We start from the raw sequence: 20,089 nt of genomic DNA, 5'->3' as shown, positions 1-20,089 counted from the left end.
GCCTTACATAAATAATCCCATTCAAACAGAAACAAGTTTTTAAATGAATAGGCATTACTACATTTGCTCAAACAAAAAAATGTTAGTTCTGTTAAGAACTAGTTTTTGTGTCCTTGGGCTGGAAAAAAATTGGAAAATAGCTACTCATGTGAAAATTTACTTTAGCTTTGTCTTTTACATTTAGTCTTAATGAGCCATTTCTGATCAGACTGGTTTTGTTCTTCCCTAGTTGATTATTGTCTAGTTTCAACAAACTTGTTCTTCTGAGGTCACTTTCTGTCTAAATTCAAGTAAAATGCCATTTGTTACAAGCAGTTCAGTTATATAGCAAACAACTCATAACACCTTAACAAAAAGCTATTGAGATATGTAGCACGTTGTGTTACTTAGATACCACCCAGTGGAAATCTTATTTATTTAGTCATGTCCAACATTGTATAAGATCTTCCACAAATACCGAGTTAATTCAGTATAGAGTACATTTTAGCTATCAAGACTATACTTTGCTTTTTAATTTAATTAATCAAGCAGGCAGTTCTAGCATTCTGCGAAAGTGTATTCTTTTCTGTTTCATCTGCTTTAGACAGATTTTTCCCACCTCTTTCCAGATATTTCTGCTATGCCCCGTGGTACTCCATTATATGGGCAGCCGTCATGGTGGGGGGATGATGAGGTGGATGAAAAAAGAGCTTTCAAGACAAATGGCAAACCTGAAGAAAAAAACCATGAAGCTGGAACATCAGGTAAAAAAATCTCAGTCACTGTGACATTAAGTGGATATTTTGGGAAGTATCTGTAATCTAAGCAAACAGCTGTCTACCATGAAAAGAGATGATCTAGTATTCTATACTTTGATTTTTTAAAATTGATGAATGTTTTAATGGCCTTGTTATTTTAATGTAAAATTTAAAATTATGTGTGATTATAAGTAAAGTATTAATTTTAATATCTTTATAAAGCACTTCTATTTAAAATATTTTTTACAGTTTAAAGGAGATGTTAAGATTTGGAAAGTAGATTAATGATATAACTAGGCATTTTAAGTTTATAAAAATAATTATTAAAATATATCAATTAGACCAAAATTGTAGGCATTAATTTTGCGTTTTTATTAGATCCCCAGAATATAATCATATTTTTAAAATAAATTAATTTATTCTTTGAGATGGGATCACACTGTGTTGCCCAGGCTAGTCTTGAACTCCTGGACTCAAGCCATCTTCCCACTTCAGCCTCCCGAGGAGCTGAGATTATGGCACACACCATCTCATGTCCAGCTTAATCATATTTTTAAATGAACATTTCCCACTTTGTTCAGAAATGTGATATGAAATTACAAATTCTTCAAAACCTCAGTGTGCTCATTGTAATGAGAAATGGCAGCAACAAGATTAGTTGAGTTTGGCAGCCAGAATGAAAAAATAGTTCTGGGTCAGATTCTCAGATTAATAGTCAAGGAACACATTTTTGATATTTCTGATATTGTTAATGGAGTGGTTCAGTCCGTAAACCAGAAAATCAAGACTTCCAGGAAATGAATGGAGGTGTCAGTTGCCACATAAGGACCTTGCAAAGACATGAGAACAGAAAGATGGAGCAGCCAGTTTTTGAGATAACAGCAGACAAGGATCCAGAACTGGAGGAATTAAGTACAGGCACCTGGGCTCAGTATGGAAGACTAAGTCTGGCTCTGAACCAAGGATAAATTCCATGAGAACTCTTCTCACTTTTCTACTTTTCACCCTAATTCTACAAGATAAATAGGACATTTTTCTTAGCTGGACAATAAGAACATTGGTTCTTTAGGTATGCTCTAATGGATACAAGTCTAGAAAAGCGAGCGTTATCAACTTCATCTTACAGTGCCCAAGGCTGAACTTGTCAACTTTGCAAATAAATTCCCATCCCAGCTTTATTGTTTCTGTCACCAGCAGTTTTCTTCATGCCCATGCACAGAAACAGTATTACTTAGCACGCTTTCAGATGTAAATAACAAATGCTGCCTGAGACTAAACAGGGAAGAAATTTACTGGCTCACATAACTGAACCCCATGAGGGTTGTTTACTTCAGCATCTCAACAATGTCGTCATCAGCTAGCTAGCTTCTCTCCGTCTCTCAGTCTTGCTCTTCATAGTGGTTGCAGACTGAGGAGTTTACCCTCACTCTCATAGGCTGCCTGCCAGTAGCAGGAAGGGGTACATGCTACTTTGATCACATCCAACAGGAAAGCGAAAACGTTACTTCCGGAAGACCTTCCAGAATTTGGAAGAACTTTGCCAAAAGTTCTTAACATCTCTCATCTCATTGGCCTCTCACAGGTTCAGGAGAGGGTCACCTGCTTATTTCTGAACCAATCCCTGGCAAGGCAAGTTAGATTATCCTTAAACCAGTCTTGCTCACCTTGAAGCTGTGTGTGATGTTAGTTTTCCCCTAAGCCACATGATCTATGTCAGGAAAGAGTGGATGCCAGAGATTTTTGGAGTCCTTTGAGGAGGAAAGAACAGGGAAAGGATATTGAAAGAAAACCAAGGATGTCTGCTTTATTTGTAAATTTTGAGTGTTCCCTTCCCTTCACCTTGTCTGTCTAATCCTTAGGTCTGTTGCCTTTCCCCACGCTGCCCGCCGTCCTGAGTCATGATTGGGCTACCAACCTGGTTTCAACCCTCCTGCAGTTTATTTTGTATAACACATCTAAACTGATCTTTATTTTCTTTGTTCAAGAAACTACAATGACTGTCTTTTGCCTGCCAAATAGATTTTTAAACTAAGTTGTTCATGTCAGAGTTTTCTAATTTTGTCCCAGTTTCCATGGTCAGCCTTACGTCCCATTACCAGTTGTTTGAGTGGTCTCTCCCAATGCATCCCCCATAAATTATGCTAATTCCTGCCTGCTCTTTTCCCACAGACATAAATACACACATACATTAAATGACAAAGAGATACATTCTAAATGATGTCTGTATATTTATCGTCAGTACGTTACAGTTTCATTCATTATGTTGTGTGTGTGCCTCCTCCCCACAGCTAAACTATACATGTCTTATTCAAGTACCGCATAATATACTATCACTGTGCCCTAGAGCCACCTAGTACTGAGAGGGGGAAAGATTTACCAATTAGGTGATTAAGAAAACATAGCTGAATATAATTATCACCAAACTCTGAAAATCAGTATGATAGTAATTTTTATCTTGCCGTTAAAATTTTAGCCCTCCCCTGTCACACACAAAACAGCTTTTGAAATCTGAAGCGCGTAACTTCTAACATACAGTGAAGTGTATATGTAATTTTTGTACAGAAGGCACAACCATGATTTACAGTAATAGCTAACACTTCAGTAGGGTTTACTTTATCCAACATTCTTCTGAGTGCTTTGTATGCATTTATTTAATCATCACAGCAATACCTAAAGGTACAGTTACGGTGATTTTGTAGATAAAGAAACTGAGGCATACTGAAATTAATTTACTTGTCAAAGTCACCCAACTACAAATAATGGAGCTGGGATTTGAACTTAGATTGCCTGACTCCTGAGTCCACGCTCTTAACCATAAGAAGTTTTAATATTTCAGCCATCATTACTCTTGTAAACACAATCACTCTAAAAGGATATACTTCATAGGGTACAAAGATTTAAACAAATACTCCAAAATCAAATAGCCATAAAAATTGATCCCTCCTAGCTCAGCATAATAAAATAAATTTCAAATGTGAAGCATCCAGCAATACTTTCATCTATATGAATGTAACTGAATTCTCAGCTTGTGTACTCTTTCTGCTAGATGACCAAAAGCCGTCTCATGATCTTGGGGTTCTTTTTGAGTAATAATTCAGTGATTTATGTCTTGTGTCAAATTCCTTAAAGTGCCCTGTCAGATACAGCTGATTAGTAATAGCCTTAAGAGACTCTCACTTGCTTTCTTATGTTAGTATGAGGATATTACTGTTTCAGATTTATCATTTGCAGCTTTTTAAAATATAGGATGAGGAAAATAGTTTACTGTCTTGTAATAATTTATGAAGCCAGCAGAAATTGTAGAATCAGATTTGAAATGTATATCAAGTGTTCTTTAATGTGGTCATTTTGAAATTAAGGTATTTTTAAAAACTTAAACTTTTTTTTTAAGTTTCAAATTGTGGAATATACGTGATTAGTTTAATAATTTATCCTGTAGCATACTCTTAGTGAAAGCAAAAAGTGATTTGCTTCTTCGTTATTAATTTTTAGAGTTGCATTCCAGAAAGGATAATAGAGTGTTTGCTACCTAGTAATTTTTAACGTTCCTCTCTGTGGGTTCATATATATCCAGAAACTCCCGAAGACTTGCCATATAGCTTAAAAAGCCCTGGTTTAAGCAAATACTTACTTTAGAGCAATTTCGTTCTCCAGAAATTGTGTGACTATTTTTAATCGTATTAAGACGTAAAGTTTGTCCTCAATTTATTTACAGCTATGCTTTTCTACCTCCTAACTTGGTCTCAACAATTAATTTAGGTTATAATTAAAGGCCTTTAACTGTTGCACACATTTTGAAATGGCATGTGCAACTGGGAATCATAGATTTTTGGCTCTCTCATGTTGATTTTTAATCCAGCGAAACTAAATTTGGAAATTTTCAAGTCGTAGCTCCTTTTAAGCAAAAGGAGCTTCCCAGTCTTCTTAATTTGACATGCTTGAACAGACTAGGTTAGATGGATGTCTTAAGCAGAATGAGCTGTTATAATTATAGTCCTTGTCATCTCAAATAAGTTTAATATTTCATTGAATTTAGTACAGAAGAATGAAAAGAACATTTATTCTGGATGAAGTATAAGTATCCCTTATAACATATTGTGTTAAGGTAACACAGTCATAAAATACCTTAAGAACATAAGCAGATTATCACCAATTGCTTTTCTGATTGAGATATATGGAATTAATTATGGCATAATCAATCATTAAATAATTTTTTAAAATCTAGTAATTGAGATTAATAATATAATATTAGTCTAAACAAGTATTTACTCTATTATTTAGTTTCATTTGGTATAACAAAATGAGTTTTGAAGATAGATGAATGTTAAATTTCTAAATTCCAGAATATGTTCTGTTAGTGTTCTGAGGGAGGAAAGGTGTTTTATTTTTCTGTGTTGATTAGAAGACCCCTTATAGTTTTCTATTAGGTACTTCTCAAGTGTAGTTGGACCACACTTCATCTGTTTTTATCATCTTTAGGGAAATGAATCCTTCCACATAATGAATTTTCCAGATGATTGAACTTTACTTTTACAGTTGATAGTTTTTTTGAAGTTTAACCATTTCCTAAGTTTCTATTAAATTAATTACCCATATTACCACCTTCTTAAGCAGAGAAGTTTCAGTATAATTTAAAACTTTTTCTTATGACTCAAAATCATCAATCATCAATATCAGTATTACTATTATATATATCAATAGCAATAGCAATATTGATATAATCAATAATCAAATATATTAGTAATATAATAATACTGATACTGCCTTACAGTAATGTCCTCAGGAGACTGTAGTATATAAGACTGTTTGCCCTATATACTGAATGGTACTGGACTATCATGTTTTTGGGGCCATTTGTCTGCTCTTGTTTTTCATCTTGTCTCTACCACTTGGTGCAATTTGTCTGTCCTTAATCCTCACTTTTGTACCCTGCCCAAGGTTTGCTACATGTGATCTGAGTAAATAGTAAAAACCTCTCGGTGAAGATCTTAACTGTTAGTAATGTTTATGAATATTCAAGGATAGGCATTGTCATATCTGTCTTGGGTTTTTTAGAGTTGGGTTTTGGTATTAGCTTTTTGTCTTCCTGATTCTCAGCTGTTTTTGAAGGTGGAGGGAGAAGCATTTATTTGTGTACCTGCTTTGTTCTGGGTAACTTACATGATCTCACTTAATACTCATCTCACTAAATCTTCACAACAATCTTATGGGAAGATACTGTTTTCTCACTTTATGATGAGGAAAATGAGGACTACAGACTGATTAGGGATAAGATTTATCTGATTTCAGATCTTGTCTGGGCTTTGCATGAAACCAGGCTGCCTGGTTATGATCATCAGATCATAGTCTGCTGCCTTTCCACTCTATTGTGCTACTTGACCTGGTTAGGTACTTGATTTCTAGATGAATTAGTTATTAACTTGTATAAGTCTCAAGTTTCTAGCTTTGAGTGAATGCGAGTTTGAAGTAGTACTAACATGGGAATGGTGACCTTCAAAACAGGTGACCTTGATAAGTGCTATATCCCTGGCCAGCTTTTTTGTGTTGCTTCATAGCTGAGCCACATCAGTTTTATTTAGCTCTCTGTATAGTGGATCAGTTTTATTTGGCTCTCTGTGTAGTGGTATTAGAAACTACCATCTTGACGTTGTTCTGTCACCTGAAGGATGAGCAAAGCAAAAACAAACTATATGTATATATCTATATGGGGGGAGGGAGAGAGGACAGGTTTATGAACCAGTTGTACTGTATGGACTTGATCAAGTACAGTACATTGTGCATAGTAAAAAAAAATCAATGTCTGAAAAAATAGAAAAATAACATTAATGAACTATTAATATATGAGAAGCAGTTAATACATTTTATTCTAATGGAAATTTTAACTAACATGACTTCAGAGTAAACACTCACAAGTCCAGCTGAACATTTTATTTTTAAGAAAAAGACAAATTAACTCTTTAATCAAACATTTTTTTAAACTTAGGTCATGTCATATAAATGTATGATTATTTCTCTGATAATGTAGAGTTTTTCCAATACTTTTCTTTCATGTTCAGTGATAGGAAAGCTGAGTAGATTTTAAAAGGGATAATTTTTCACAGTGAAAATTACAATATATTCTTTCATATTATATGTTCTCTTTGCCTTGTGTTTAGATTTTTTTGACAATTTATTATTATTATATTTATTGTGGAAATGGAGCTTGTTGTCTTCCGTGCCCTATCCCACACATTTGATTATGAAAGAGAGATGTTACTATATCATTCTTCTGTAACCTAAAAGCAGTCAGGTTTTATATTATTTCATATTCAGACTGCTGTCAAGAAACCAATTATAGTACCTGACAGATCCCACTAAAATTTAATTTTTGAAAAGATGTTTCAAAAGACCAAACGCTTCACTTAATTAGAAAATGTTTGGAAACAACCTAGTCTCCCTGTATTGCCTTGTTTTCCTAATAAATTGTCTGTAAGTGATTTTTCTATTAATCTGTTTAAAAGCAGAATTTATTTTTGAGCTTTAGGGAAATATGTCTCATTTCAACTTGCTCTTCATTTTGATAATGGACATGCTTTGCTTCTTCAACAACAGGACAATAGCATCTTTAATTTTTTTATTTTGCATTTGCGTACCGAAAACGTTTTAGTTGTCATTTTTATTTATGTATTTTATTCATAAATGCATCTGTTTCTATACTTTTGTATTAGATTCTGAGGCAACAGAAGAATAGTGATAGTGTTCCAGAGTTGCTTGCTCCTTCTGCCAACTCATGTTAATCTGAGGTTTACAATTCAGCTTTCCTCCAAGGAATTTTGACACTTTTGCATATTCTGCTGTATGGAAATGTAAACTTCCAGAGTTATTGTCTGGAAACTGAATTTCCTATTTTAACCTTATTTCGTTCACACTGCTGCTTGGATTGCAAACCACATGTTTTAGTCTTTATAAAATGTTTGTATCTTCTTGCAAGGATCGCACTTCAGCAATATCTTTGTCATTCTGAAAGTAATGTTTCCGAATGTAATGGTGAAGAATGGTAAGTGGAATCATTACTTCCAGAAGATCACTTACATATTTACTTCATGTTTGTATTCTCATTTGAGCACCTATTCTCCTTTGGAGCACTACATGTGTTCATATATATTTCAGATATCTCATCTTGGCGACTTGAGAAGGGAGTTCATGGTTTTTCTGTCACTTTTTATATATACATTGAACATGCATCTCCATCTACATTTTATTTTAATTCTTTTGGACCTTGATGAATTCTAGATCCAGGTTGGAAAAAATATGGACCTAGCCATGCAAGATCCATTTCTTAACTGCTTTGCTCTCATTTGCCATTGCTGCTGCTTATCTTCCATCCCCTATTGGTAATCAAATCGCATGTTTATAATCAAGATTCTTTCTTCTCTGTGACATTTGTTCTGTGATATAAATGCCATTGGTTTTCATCCAGACTGTGATCTGCCTTCTGGTTCTCACGGAGTAGTACACATGGCCATTACCAGACTCCCTCAAGTGCCAGAAGCAATCAAATATTTTGAATTTTCTCTTATTTTTCTCATTAGGGTGCGGCATAGATGCCAAGCAAGTTGAGGAACAATCTGCAGCTGCAAATGAAGAAGTACTTTTTCCTTTCTGTAGGGAACCAAGTTATTTTGAAATCCCTACAAAAGAATTCCAGCAACCATCACAAATAACAGAAAGCACTATTCATGAAATCCCAACAAAAGACACGCCAAGTTCCCATATAACAGGTGCAGGGCATGCTTCATTTACCATTGAATTTGATGACAGTACCCCAGGGAAGGTAACTATTAGAGACCATGTGACAAAGTTTACTTCTGATCAGCGCCACAAGTCCAAGAAGTCTTCTCCTGGAACTCAAGACTTGCTGGGGATTCAAACAGGAATGATGGCACCCGAAAACAAAGTTGCTGACTGGCTAGCACAAAACAACCCTCCTCAAATGCTATGGGAAAGAACAGAAGAGGATTCTAAAAGCATTAAAAGTGATGTTCCAGTGTACTTGAAAAGGTTGAAAGGTAAAGTGATTTGATCATTCAGAACTTCCTACTTTACGATAAAGAAAATCTGGTCTTCATTTACTAGACTACTAGTAGATACTTACATGGTAGAAAACATTCTGCTTTTTTCAAAGGTTATATTTAGTCTTAAAACTAAACAGGAAGCTACACTGCCCATGTCCAATTTCCTCATTCAAAATAGTCTTCCTTCATTTTCTTGACAAAACCAGATTGGTTTTATGAGCTTATATTTATGCTATAAAACATGTTTCTTTTTCTTCTAGAAATATAAGATTTATTAAGTTTACCAGTAGAGTTCCCTAGAAGATGAGTTCCATCATTTTCTTGATTTAAGGAAAAGATATATTCAATTCTGTTCTCTATTGAGATCAATATCTAGATTCTGAAAGAAATTTTAAGTCATTTGGTCTGAGCCAAAAGTTCTACTTTGGTAATGCAGTCACATCATTGATGGAGCGCTTCAAAGTATTCTCAGTGGTTACTCATAAAACAAAGATTTTTGGTTTAGAAATATTTGGTAGGATCTATTAATCCAGTTTTAAAATTTTTTTTAATATTAGGACTTCATGAAAATTAGAGTTGAATGTTCATTTTTGAAATAGTTATATATACTTTATTTGTGTAGAACTTAGCCAAAATTAGTACAATTTGTATGTTTGTACACTGATGTATCAGCTGATCAGTTTTTTCTCATTGGTTTTGCCAATTAAATTTATTTTAGAATTGAGTATAGATTTATGTTACCCTATCTTTTATTTAATAAGCTATCTATAAGGAAAACGATTTTGAACAAATTGTGATTACACGTTTAGCTGACCATTCTGTTACTATATTAGGAGTTTTTGTACTCCTAACACTTCATCTAGTACTTGAGCATGTGATAGGTACTAATTTGAAAACAATGGGCGATTTCTCTGTCAATGACAAGACTGTCCCTGATTTAATCTGTACCTTATGTCCTGGCATTCTGATCAAGTAATGAAGAAATAGTATTTGTATACTTATTTCTGATTTGCTTCTAAGACATTTCCGGACAGTGAGATGATGTGATTACCTAATTATTTGTTGGAGCCTATCACAATATTTAATTATAGTTATCAGCAGTTACCTGGCATATGTATTTTTGAGACATGATTGTGACATTTTACTTCTAGACAATACGTAATTGAGACATTTTGTTTCTGTAGGTTAACACTCACAAACACATAGGCTGTTTATATGAATTGGATAAATAATATTGATCTCCTAGTACAGTATAAGAGGTAGCTGAACCTTGAGAATTTAGAAATAACTTAGACTTTTTAAAACCACTCTTAATAAACAAAAACTGAGGTAAAATATCCTTTTAAAAGGTAATCATTTTAAAAATACCTTTATTAAACCCATTTATAACTTAGTCATTATAACTATTTTCTATATTGACTATTATTATTACTACTATTTTTTTTTTTTTTTTTTGGAGACAGAGTCTCGCTTTGTCACTCAGGCTGGAGTGCAGTGGCGCGATCTCGGCTCACTGCAAGCTCCGCCTCCTGGGTTCACGCGATTCTCCTGCCTCAGCCTCCCGAGTAGCTGGAACTACAGGCGCCCACCACCACACCCGGCTAATTTTTTTTATTTTTAGTAGAGACGGGGTTTCACCGTGTTAGCCAGGATGGTCTTGATCTCCTGACCTCGTGATCCACCCACCTTAGCCTCCCAAAGTGCTGGGGTTACAGGCGTGAGCCACCGCGCCTGGCCTGTATCGACTATTATTTTTAAGCCATTATTTTAAAACGTTCTGTCCTCACAAGCCCATTTGTGGGCCTAATTCCAAATAGAGGGATTAATGTCCACATGTATACTATATCTGTATTTTAATGATTAGATCTTTTAAGCCCTTACTAGAAATTATGTAATCATATTACTGTTGTCCTTCAAAGTTGATTTATAGGTAGACATACATTCCAGTATGGTGCCAGTGTGAGAACTCTTCTTTTGGATTTGCCTTCAGACCATTTTACAAGCCATTGAAGATAATGTTTTTGTGAATATAACTCATTTTTTGATCCAAGATAGACTCATTTTACTTTTCTGGACATGTGTATAAATGACATGTGACTTTCTCCAAAAGTCAGAGCTTCCATCATTAGATAACAATTTTCCATGATTTAGGATATAAAAAGTATATAGCCAGACTCTAAATAAATGTAATTATAGCAAATAATAAAAATTTTACAAAAATTAGGTTTTCAGCAACTGTTTAGATCAAAGAATTGAAAGTAGGCAAAACAAAACTAAAACAAAAAACTTTGCTCCTACAAGAGTAAAATGCAGGTGCTTTGCGACAGTTTGGAAAATAAAGCCCATACACTTTAACCCTTTAGGAGAGTTGCCACTGTTTTAGGCCACACCACTGACTTGTTACAGCTAACCTACCCTAAAAATATTAAAAGGACTTCAACATATTTAGGCATGGTTAATGATGAGCAAAGGAAAGAAAAGAACTTGGTGAGGACTGTTTCCTAGTGACTTTTTTAATGAGTAGAAACAGAAAATTGCAGCTGTGATGAGATGTTGACTTGTATAACCCTGACAAAATACAAGAGGGAATGGTAATTTTCCAAAAAAGAAAATGACTAATTTATAAGAAAAGTTTTGAACTACAAGTTATAGGAAAGATATTTGAAAGGGCCTGACACCACTAAGTGCCAAATTTTATCTATTGGAATCAATTAAATTCTGTGAAGATGGTATTTTCATTAAAATCTTTCTGTATGTGCGTGATCTGTTATTCTTATGGTACAGCAAATATTGGAATTTAGTTATTTTCAGCTTTTAGAAACTGGATTCCTTTTCAATAGAGCCATTACAACAATGAAATAGGTTGTAAAATCTAGTGTTTTTAATGAAGTCTATATTTGAACTAAGGAGTTTGTTTGGGCTTGCCTTTCATCTGCTATCTGTTATTCCTAGCTTAATTACCTGAGGCAGGGATTTCATTAATTAATCCCATTTTTTCTTTTCAGATTGCATTTTGAGTAGTCAACAATTTGAAGAAAGATCTTCAGATTTGTTGTCATATATGATTTTTATAGTATTAATCACTATTACTTTGATAGACATGATCTCCAAATCACCTTCATTTTGATCTTACTCCCTTTGTTTCCCTTGCCTATTACTTTTCCAAGACATGACCCTTTTCTGTGCATTCCGCAGTTCTCTCTTCTGTGTCTTCTCATTCCTTTTATGCACCACATTTTTATAACTAGTGTTTCTGTGTTAAATCATTGGGACCAGTTAGTAATCTCTAAATTCATTAGGAACAACCTATAAACATTAACACTCAACTTCCCTAGACATAGGTCATTTGCTTCTCCCACCCCCAAGTCTTTCGTGTCTGATCATTATTTTGTTTGGTACCATATTATTCAGTGGGTGTTCACATTAAAATTTGTAGCCCAGGTAAATTTAAAAATCAGATTTAGTCCTGGAAGCATTAGAATGTACCTCGTTGACTAAATTCATTCATAGCTAAAGAAGTTTAAAACTAATTTAAGCTCTGATTTGTGATTCCATTTAAAACATGCACAGAATAACTTGACTTTCTAATAATTTCATGCTATAATAATACAATATCATTTGATTATTTTTATCATATACTTATTATTTAGGTAATGAGAATTTTAAATCAGGAAAAAAATAATTTTTGTGTCATCACATCCAAAACCTAACAGAACCATTAAGGGTAACTAGTGGCTTTTACTTGCTCTAAAATAGAAAAACCTTTGTTAAAGAGGTGATCTTTCAAAATTCCGATATATTCTAACCTGATATGCTTCCTGGGGAAAATAGCTGGTTATATTGAGCACCATGCTGTTTGCCCAGTGGTCCTTAGATCTAGGTGGAGATTTCATAGATGACCCTTTGCATTGATAGACCTCTCAGCATGCTTTCTTTAACTCTGAAGCCACTAGAGTTTGGAGTGCAAATGCAGTTTTCAAAAATTCTCATAGCTGGAAAGATATGTGGAAAAAATTTTGCAATAATTAATGGGGACTACAAATTTGAATCTTTTTAATAAAAAGGAAAAATATGCTGAGCTTCTGAAAGTACTGAACATCAGTGAAGCTTAAGATTCATCACATTTTTACCATACTTATGTTCTCATTTCCTGTGTAACAGTAAGCATTTCAGTGACATTACCCTTTTTCTTGTCTTTTTTCATCTCTAATGCTAGAGTCAAATTTTTTATTGCTAAATAAGATGTATAATTTGAAGGCAGAATTAATGTTTATTGATGTTAGGAATACAAATATCGCAGAGATAGAGCATCAATTATCTATTAAGACATTGATGAAACATTATAAAGTTAAAATTTGGAGAAAGGCGATCCTATTCAGTTGTTTATAAAGGACCTCATTGTTAGTTGATAAAATTTGAATGTAACCATTGCAATTGAGCAAGTTTGCCGAGCCTGTTACTGAAGAGAACATATGACTTTGGATTGAAAAGGAGGAGGGGAGCAAAACAAATAGCACTTTTGTATATGCTTCTAAATTTCTACATGGGACTTTTTCCTTCTCTATTGTGTGTTTTCTTTTTGTATCCAGGAAATAAACATGATGATGGTACGCAAAGTGATTCAGAGAACGCTGGGGCTCACAGGCGCTGTAGCAAACGTGCAACTCTTGAGGAACACTTAAGACGCCACCATTCAGAACACAAAAAGCTACAGAAGGTCCAGGCTACTGAAAAGCATCAAGACCAAGCTGTTGTAAGTCAAACTGCTTTTATGATTGCATTCTTTGATGAAGACAATCCCAGAAAAAGAAGGTCGTATTCTTTTACTCAAAGTGCGGGAATCTTGTGTCAGGAAACTACATATTCAACACCACATACAAAACTTGAGAAAGCAAAGTCTCCAACAGCAGATGCCAAAGTGGTTTCTTTGTCTTTACAGACTAGCTCTGCGCATCACAGAGGGGGGCATGGTGTTCCACATGGGAAATTGTTAAAACAGAAATCAGAGGAGCCATCGGTGTCAATACCCTTCCTACAAACTGCATTATTAAGAAGTTCAGGGAGTCTTGGGCACAGACCAAGCCAGGAGATGGATAAAATGTTAAAAAATCAAGCAACTTCTGCTACTTCTGAAAAGGATAATGATGATGACCAAAGTGACAAGGGTACTTATACCATTGAGTTAGAGAATCCCAACAGTGAGGAAGTGGAAGCAAGAAAAATGATTGACAAGGTAAATAATTGAAATTTGAGTGTGATCTTAGTTGTTGTGTGGTGTATTTGACTGGTGGAAATTATTGGAGAGTCAGCATGAGATGTTGTCATGCAGTCAGTGGTATGTGAATTTTAGGGTTTTGTTAGGGAACTGCAAGACTTAACAGTAAGACCAACATGCTTTGTGATTTTATTTGCTGATATTCTGAATTTACCTGAGTTTCATACATAAAGCTCTGTACATTTAAAAGGTTTGGACCTTTTAAATTTGTGTAAATTAAAGATAGGTTTTAAAAATAGTATGCTTTGGACATTCTTGCTTTGCATTTGCTTAAAAAATAAAAAGAAACAACCAACAAACATTGCTATAACTCTGTTAACATAAATGTAGATATTAGCCAATAATAGTTAACCACAGATTTCCTACCTGCTGATTTCATGTTGGAAGATGAAAATACTTATTTTAGCTTTGTTCTTTGTCCGTATGTTTTCTTAATTTCTATTCACTGCTGTCATTGGTGGTAGAAGAGAAGTATATGAAAACAAAATCAGTTGTTTATGATTTAGTTTACTAGTTTAACCACGTATATGACCAGTCGTGATAGTTACCTACATTTCAAGTGTATTCTTTGATATTATTGGTTAGCGTGTGTAAGGATTGTTGCATGGTTTAAAAAGCAATTTTTCTCAGTTTTGCCAATGGTCGTGAAAGGTTGACTTTAGAATCAGCTATCAAGGTTGCCGTTGAAAGTAATGGCAAAAACCGCAGTGACTTTTGCACCAACCTCATATTACCTCTTGCAAAACAGCAGTATCCGTTTGGCTAAACGTTAATCTTTTGTTTGAATTCTTGTTACTCAAATCCACTCCACGGGTTAGCAGCATAAATATTACTTGGAAGCTTGTTAGAAATGCAGCTTCTCAGGCCCATCCTATATATACCAAGTCAAAATCTACATTAGAAATGAGATCTCCAGTTGACTAATGTGCACATTAACATTTGAGATGCACTTATTTAGATGATGAGTTTCTGGAATGGCCTCTTCAGGGAGGAGGGCAAGATAAGATAACCCTTTGGGATGCAGGAAAAATATTAGAACTTAATGTTTACTTTTATTTTCATATTTTTAATTTTTATTTTGGATTGTGTTCTATAGTGTATAAAATCTCTTACTACACTGTAAGAGAGTACGTATAATTTCTAAACATACATTTATTGTGAAGTACATGCTTCAGGTTTACCACTGAGCTGCTCAACTCCAAACTTTTAGAGACCCATTGTCTGGGAAATAGGTGAGCAATATTATAGTTGTTAATATGAAAAGTATAGTGTTTAAGAAACATCTGATGTTTCTTAATGACTGATCATAATGGCTGATGTTTTCCCATTAAAAGATTATTTTGCAGTGAAGGATTTTATATGTATATATATATAGAGAGAGAGAGAGAGTGCAATTTAAGAACATGGACCCTTGTAAGCAGACAGATCTGGGATTAAATATAAACTTTGCATGTGCTTGTGTGTGCCCTTGGGTAAAGTTACCTCTTTAAGCCTCAGTTTCTTTTATCTCTGAAACAGAGGCGATATCACTAGATTATAAAAAGAATTCAATAAAACATGTAAAAGGCTTATCACAATACCTATCTTATTATATTGCTTTATAAGTGTTGCTTTATCATTACTGTTATTAGGAGTTTCCACATTTGAATCTCTACATAAAGTACTGACAAATCCCAGAATGTTCTTTCAGCACTGAAAGGGTTAAATATAAAACCACAATGGAAGTGACAGTGTGAGGGGCTAGCTTGGCCAGGACAGCAGAAAGCCAAGAAAGAAGTCATTGTAGCAGATGAAACTCTTCAGGAAACTGCTGGATAGAGAGGGTGGCCACAAAACCTGTTTTACACCTGTTGCCTACAATTATCATAAGCATCATTTTTTATTCTCAGAGTCCATTTTGACAGCAAATTATATGGTCACACTGTGGATAGAGAAACCCAAGACTTTAGAGCAGGAGTCATTTAAAGGAGTAATGGTAGTGTGTGACTGTGTACATAGTTCAAAGTCATTCTTAGTTTGTATAAACCAGAAAATGAAGCTGAGACCATATTGCTGGGAAGAACAAAGCTCACTACATTATCTTGTGACTACCAAAGAAAAAGAGCTAAGATTCCATTAGCTTGAATCCACATAAAGCTTAAAGCCAAATTCGGGCTAATTAAAGTCAGGCTCTGGGAAAACAAAAGCATAAAAGCAGTAATCATGTCTGAGTAAGATGAAGTAACCTGTGGGTATGAAGAAAACAAAGACCAACAACAGCCAGAAGGAAGGCAGAAAAAGCACTTTGGGAGGATAGGAGTAGATACAGGCATCATATCAAGTTGCCTGGATGAGTGTTGTCATCCAGTTTCTCCATTTTGAGGTTTGGGTGTGTGGGATTGAAGTTGGGGCCATCAGCTGTTGTTTGTCTGAATTTAAATGTTCTTTGGTCCTGGAAACGTTCATGTGGTCTAACTCTTCTTTTCACGTCATCATTTGAGATGTGTTCTATTTCATTGATTCATTTATTTAGCAACTTTAATTCAACATTAACTATGTGCCAGGCTTTGTGTCTACGAGAAGGTGATTCACAATGAAAAGACTGAGCTCTTTCTCTCAGGAAATGGCTGTGTACTGGAATAGATATACACAGACAAAAACCAAGACTTTAAAAATAAAGCTGTTGGAGGAAAGCTACCAATAGCTTCCAAGAGGAGATCTCAGGTCTTCAGAGGACATTCCTTCCTCAGAGAAGTCTTTAGTCATTCAGTTAAAAAAAAAAAAAAGTAGTCACTGTCATCAACTTGTTTCATTTTAATCATAAGCTTTATTACTGCTTCACCAGTTCACTGTTTATTCATTTGCCTCCCTACTCCCATTGGAAAGAGACACAAACAAATGTAAACTCCATGACTGTAGGAACCTAGTGCCAGCATATAAAATGTCCTCAATAAATATTGCCAGCTGAGCTAGTCGTGAAACATACGTAATTAATCCCATAACAGGCATGCTAGGTAGAGTTTTCCAGAAATATGGAACAGCCTATTCGAAAGCACAGGAGCACACATGACTTGTTCAGAGGACCACAGTTACTTTTGAAGAGATGAGATTGGACTCGATATTGAAGTTCATTATATATCATACTGAGGACTTTAATGCCGAAGGCAGTGGGGAATCATTGAAAACATTTAAGTAGGGCAATGACATGGTCGAGTCACTGTCAGAAGTGTGAAGTATGGATTGAACATTGGAAATGCCAGAAGCACAGAAGGCAATCTAAAAGCTGCTGTCATGTCCAGTAGTCAATTAGTTAATGACTAGATCTTAGGTAAGAGGCCTGGGCTAAAAATACAGATCTGGGAATTATTAGACAATAGAGGGCAGCTGTCTTAGTATGTTTTGTGTTGCTATATCTGAGACTGGGTAGCTTATCAAGAAAAGAGGTTTGTTTAGCTCACAATTCTGCAGGCTGGGAAATTCTAGAGCATAGCTCCACATATGGCTGGCTTATGTTAAGGGCTACATGCTGGGTCAAAACATGGTAGAGAAAGTCAGAGGGGAAGTGGACATATGCAAAAAGGCAAAACAAGAGGGGCTGCCTCACTTTATAACAGTCTACTGTGAAGGGAACAAATCCATTCCCATAAGAACAAGAACTCACAAGATAGCATTAATATATTCATGAGAGATCTGCCTTTTTGACCCAAACACCTCCCATTAGGCCTCACCTCCCAACACTGTCACACTGGCAATTAAACTTCTACATGAGTTTTGGCAGGGACAAACCACATCCAAACCATAGCAGTAATTGAATACAAAATAAGAGATGAGATTAATCAGAGAAAATGTATAGGGTGAGAGCAAATAAAGTATGAAAATCTCAGCAACACCAACATTGATGGACAAAGGAGAAGGGGGAACAAAGGAAACTGAAAAATATGTAACAGGAATAAGAGAAAACCAAAGGAATATGTAGCATCTTGGAATAAAAAGCAGAGCAAAGAGAAGTCAGTAAGCAACAGTATCACATGACACACTGATGTTAACTATGATGAGCACAGAATGCCTTTTCAGTTTTTCTCCAAAATACATTGTAATTCTTGGGCTAAAGAAGATGAGCAAACCGTGTATTTGCATCTTACCTTGGGAAGAGTTGCATAGCATTAAAATAGGATTTCTTTAAAGAGATGACCAAGCTAAACTGCTGTATCCTTATTTTTCTGTGCTGGTAGTAGTTAAAAGATAGTGAACTACCTACCCTCTTTTTCTGTCGCCAAGTTATGAGATTACAGCATTTGGGTTTGTATTTTGGGGCTGTCTCTCTCAATAGATCACCTTATTTTATGCATGTCCTCAAATTCACCTTTAAAATGTTAACACAAATACCTGATATTGATAAAGACCTCTTAAGTTTTACATCTAAGTTTACATGGAAATACACTATAAGAAAGTGCTGTTGACTGCCTAGATTAAAGGCATTTATCTCTCATACTAGTAATTATCTCTCCCAACCCTCTCTCCCTTGGCCTCTCCGATAACTACCTTCCCATCACAGTACCAGTTTCTTCTCTCCACTCTTCCATCAAAAGAGATAACCACTGAGGCAAGAGGAAGACCTTGTCAGGGTTACTTCCTAACCTCCTAAGCTAAATAGGAGAAACTTGTGGTAAGAACAGAAAGCTAAACATTAAAGGAACAAGAAAAAATGATCATTGTGGAGGGCTTGAGGAACTATCCTCTTAAAAGAAATATTTCTCCTCATAAATTTCATACCATAGACCAACTCTGCCAGATACTTTTCTTGTCCTGAGTTTTGATTCTTGTTCATTGTGTCAATATATCTCCCCTACAAAGCCTCTTACTAGCGTCTTTTCTTCCCTCATAGGGCCTGGTCACTGCTGGTTCTATAAGCAACAGTTGGTAGGGAAGAATCTAGAGCCAGGAGACCTATAACAAAACTAGAAACATGGGAGGAAGAACATTTACAGCAGTGAGTCAAACAGCTCAAGAAAGTCAGTGCTGCGGATCTGGACCCTGTAAAAATATTCCAAACCCTGAAAGTCACAGCAAGATTTAAGATGAGATCCAAGTAAGAGCCAGGGAAACGATGATAAACCAGAATCAAAATCTATGTAGAAGAAGGCAGGATGTCCAAAGTCCACTCAGATAGAGAATTAGATGTGCATGGGAACTCAAGGAGTAGGAGATCAAGTGAGAGCCTTGGACAATAGGAGAAGACTTTGACGACAGTCAGCATTTTTATTTTTGACTGAGCAATTTTTTCTGTATTGAGAATTTTTTCTTTTTAATTTCTACCAGGAGAGCTTACTTTTGGTTTCTCTGATTAGTTCTCCTCAACCCTTCTTAACCTCTGCTGCCTCCTTCCTGGGTATAAGAAACCCTCTCCTGCTGTGTTAATTTCCAAAGCTTCACGAGGGAACCCTCACCTTTTATTCAGCCAGACGCCTAACATAATAGGTTTGTCCTCATTTTCCTTTCTCTCTTATTGTATGAAATTCTATTTATTTTCCTCTTTGAGGAAATTGTGCCCTCAATCTAATAAGCTCTTCCTTGTCTTTTTGGCATGCCTAGCTTCTCATAATTCATTTTATTTATTCCTTCCATCTTTTTATTGTGGAAAATATATATAAGAAAATTTATCGTCTTAGCAATTTTTAAATGTAGCGTTTAGTGTTATTAAATACGTTTAAAATGTTGCACAACCATCACCGCCATCCATCTCTGTAACTTTTTGTCTTGAAAAATGGAAACTCTATACCCATCTCATAATTCACTTTGAAGTGGCTTTTACTCACCACTCTATTTAAAGTAGTTGCGTCATTCACTTCTTATATCTCTCCATCAGATTGCCATGTTGTGTTTTCTTTATAGAACTCACTTCCGTCTGGTTTATTTTCTGTTTGTTCACTCTAAGATTTTGTTATTTGTCTTGTTCACATCGTATCCCTTGTGTCTAGAACAGTGTCTGGCATGTAATAGACACTCAATAAATATCTTTTGAATGTGAATGAATGAGAAAGAAA

General features: G+C 35.1%; 1 protein-coding gene across 27 annotated transcripts in view; it reads left to right on the top strand.

Moving 5' to 3' along the window:
- CEP170 (centrosomal protein 170) overlaps positions 1-20,089 on the top strand; it is a 131,358-nt gene that overhangs the window by 55,983 nt on the left and 55,286 nt on the right. For 12 of the 27 annotated variants that reach the window (XM_047435483.1, XM_006711843.5, XM_011544342.4 and 9 more), the window contains 3 exons: positions 609-743; positions 8,309-8,785; positions 13,381-14,024. In XM_047435483.1, coding sequence (XP_047291439.1) covers positions 609-743; positions 8,309-8,785; positions 13,381-14,024 — 1,256 coding nt within the window. The remainder of the gene's footprint in view (positions 1-608; positions 744-8,308; positions 8,786-13,380; positions 14,025-20,089) is intronic. The other 15 variants (XM_017002942.3, XM_017002938.3, XM_017002937.3 and 12 more) reach the window with 5 other exon arrangements.

Source organism: Homo sapiens, chromosome 1 (genome assembly GCF_000001405.40).
Source record: "Homo sapiens chromosome 1, GRCh38.p14 Primary Assembly".
NCBI classification, from domain to species: Eukaryota; Metazoa; Chordata; class Mammalia; order Primates; family Hominidae; genus Homo; species Homo sapiens.
The sequence above is the reverse complement of the archived record's forward strand: the minus strand, read 5'-3'. Positions and strand labels throughout refer to the sequence as shown.